This window comes from Homo sapiens, chromosome 5 (assembly GCF_000001405.40).
Source record: "Homo sapiens chromosome 5, GRCh38.p14 Primary Assembly".
Lineage (NCBI taxonomy): Eukaryota > Metazoa > Chordata > Mammalia > Primates > Hominidae > Homo > Homo sapiens.
In genome coordinates this window covers 91,475,787-91,478,000 of record NC_000005.10, presented here as the reverse complement: position 1 = coordinate 91,478,000, position 2,214 = coordinate 91,475,787, and the positions used below count along the sequence as shown (strand labels likewise).

General features: G+C 47.2%; 1 pseudogene; it reads right to left on the bottom strand.

The window, feature by feature from the left end:
- Positions 1-780: 780 nt before the first annotated feature.
- RAB5CP2 (RAB5C, member RAS oncogene family pseudogene 2) lies at positions 781-1,783 on the bottom strand (annotated as a pseudogene).

Sequence of the window (2,214 nt, the reverse complement as noted above, 5' to 3'; positions counted from 1 at the left end):
TTATTTTTTGCTATGTAGTGAGTATAAACTATTATCTCATTATCATATTAATTTCTTTATCTGACTATACTGAAATTTTTGAATAGTCTGGAATCACTTTCCTTACCTGGTCATATCACCCCCTTTTGAGTATGGCAAAGAACTTTCATGAAGCCACATGAGTAGCCAATTATCCTATGAAAATATGATCAACCACATTTTGACTATATTGACGATACTGATTGGTTACATTTTGAAGAAAACATACAATACAAAATACAAGTAAAAGTTGGTTCTGTCTCCTCCCACTATCCCCTTTACCCAGCCACCCCCAAATACTCATGATGATTTGGTCAGAACTGGGCTCAGAGCAAGAGGTCAGGGTGACAGAGGGTGGAGGGGTTGTAGGCTACGGGTTTGTGGCTGTCACAATAATGCTGTGATAATGCTGTGGTTTCCCAGAGGGGAGTAGGGGGCAGGGAGAGGGCTGCAGCCTGATGACAGCCAGATGAAGAAAGAGCTGCCTCTTCCTTCCCTAGCCCCAAGGCCTGCCCCACCGCCCAAACCCAAGACCACTTCAAACAAGGTAAGAATATGGATGCTCTTGCTGGGTCCGCTATTCCACAAGAGGGAAAGAAGGTAGCTGCTTGGACCCCACTGTCCCCATATACAAGGTTCAGGAGACAGGAGCACGTGGCTACTACCAGCAAAAGAAAAGTGGGAAAGCAGTAGGAAGAGGAGGAAGTGGGAAGAGCGGAAGATCATATACATTTAAAAAGTGACTTAAGACTTAAAATCCAATTAGTGTTTGTACAGAAATGTACAGGTGAAATAACTCACTATGGCCTATGACCAAAATTATATGGAGAAATCATGGTGGACTCCTACTCCTACCCCCCTACCCAAGAGGTGGCCCGAGTCGTTAAGTACAATTGGTTAGAGTGGATTCCAGGTCACTAAGGTGGAAGACTTGGGGGCAGTGGACAGGCAAGGGGGGCTCCATTGCTGCAACACCGGTTGGGGCTGGCCGGGTGGTTCTCCTGGAGGTCCACACCTTGGTTTCTGTCTGGAGCACCAGCTGCATTCTGGGGCTTGTTCTTGGGAAGTTTCTCAGCTATTGCCATGAAAATTTCATTCACATTCATTGCACCCTTTGCTGATGTCTCCATGAACAGCCAACTGTCATCGTCTGCATAGGCTTGTGCTTCCTGGAATTCCAGGGGTCTCTTGCTGGCCAGGTCTGCCTTGTTACCCGTGAGCGCAAGGACCATGTTGGGGCTGGCCTGCTTGGTAGCTCCTTCACTCAGTCCTTGGCTCTGGCAAATGTATCTGTATTGGTGATGTCATAGACCATGATGGCAGCCTGGGCCCCCCCAAGAGTACATGGGGGCCAGGCTGTGATACCACTGCTGTCCAACCGTGTCCCAGATCTCAAACCTAACTGTTGTGTTGTCCAAGCAGACATTCTGTGGGAGGAAGGCTGCTCCGAGTGTGCTCTCCTAGTATGCATGAAATTGTCCCTTCACAAGGCAGAGGACAGGTTAGATTTGCCCACTGCAGACCCAGCAGAACACGCTTAAATAGACAGATCTTATTGAGTCATGCTGTGCCTCCCCAACTCGCCACTGCCCATCCAGCTGCAGTGGTCCAGAGAGGTGGGAGCAGGGACCAGTGCTGTGCAAAGAGGCATTTAGTGTGGAGGGGGACCTCCAAGGTGGCTCCAGGACAGTGGCTTTACTTGGGGCCAGGGCTTGGACCAGCTCTGCTTCTCTCCCCAAAGGCAGTGTCCCAGACTTCAGCCTCCTATCATGTTAATTTTCATTTTTATGATGTAGCTGATCATATTTTCATAGAATAATTGGCTCCTCAGGTGGCTTCGTGAAAATTCTTCATCACACCCTAGAAGAGGTGATATGACCAGGTAGGCAAAGTGATTCCAGGCTATTCAAAAATTTCATTTCCTAGAAGGCTTTAAGCTTTGGCAAAGTTTCCTATCCTGTCCTAGCTTGGCTTGGAGTTAAGTGGAGCACCTAAAATTGGACCATCAAGACTTAAAACCATGAGCATCTATCACAATGCAAAAAAAAGTAAACTGAGGTCCAAAAGTCCTTCCCTGCCTTTTTCCTAGTGTGTAGGCCACATAAGCTTCCTGTATCATACCAAAAAAGAGGGGAGCAACAAACCAATTACAGCCACTACTGAATATCTAGCCAAACTAAGTTGGATAATGAATAT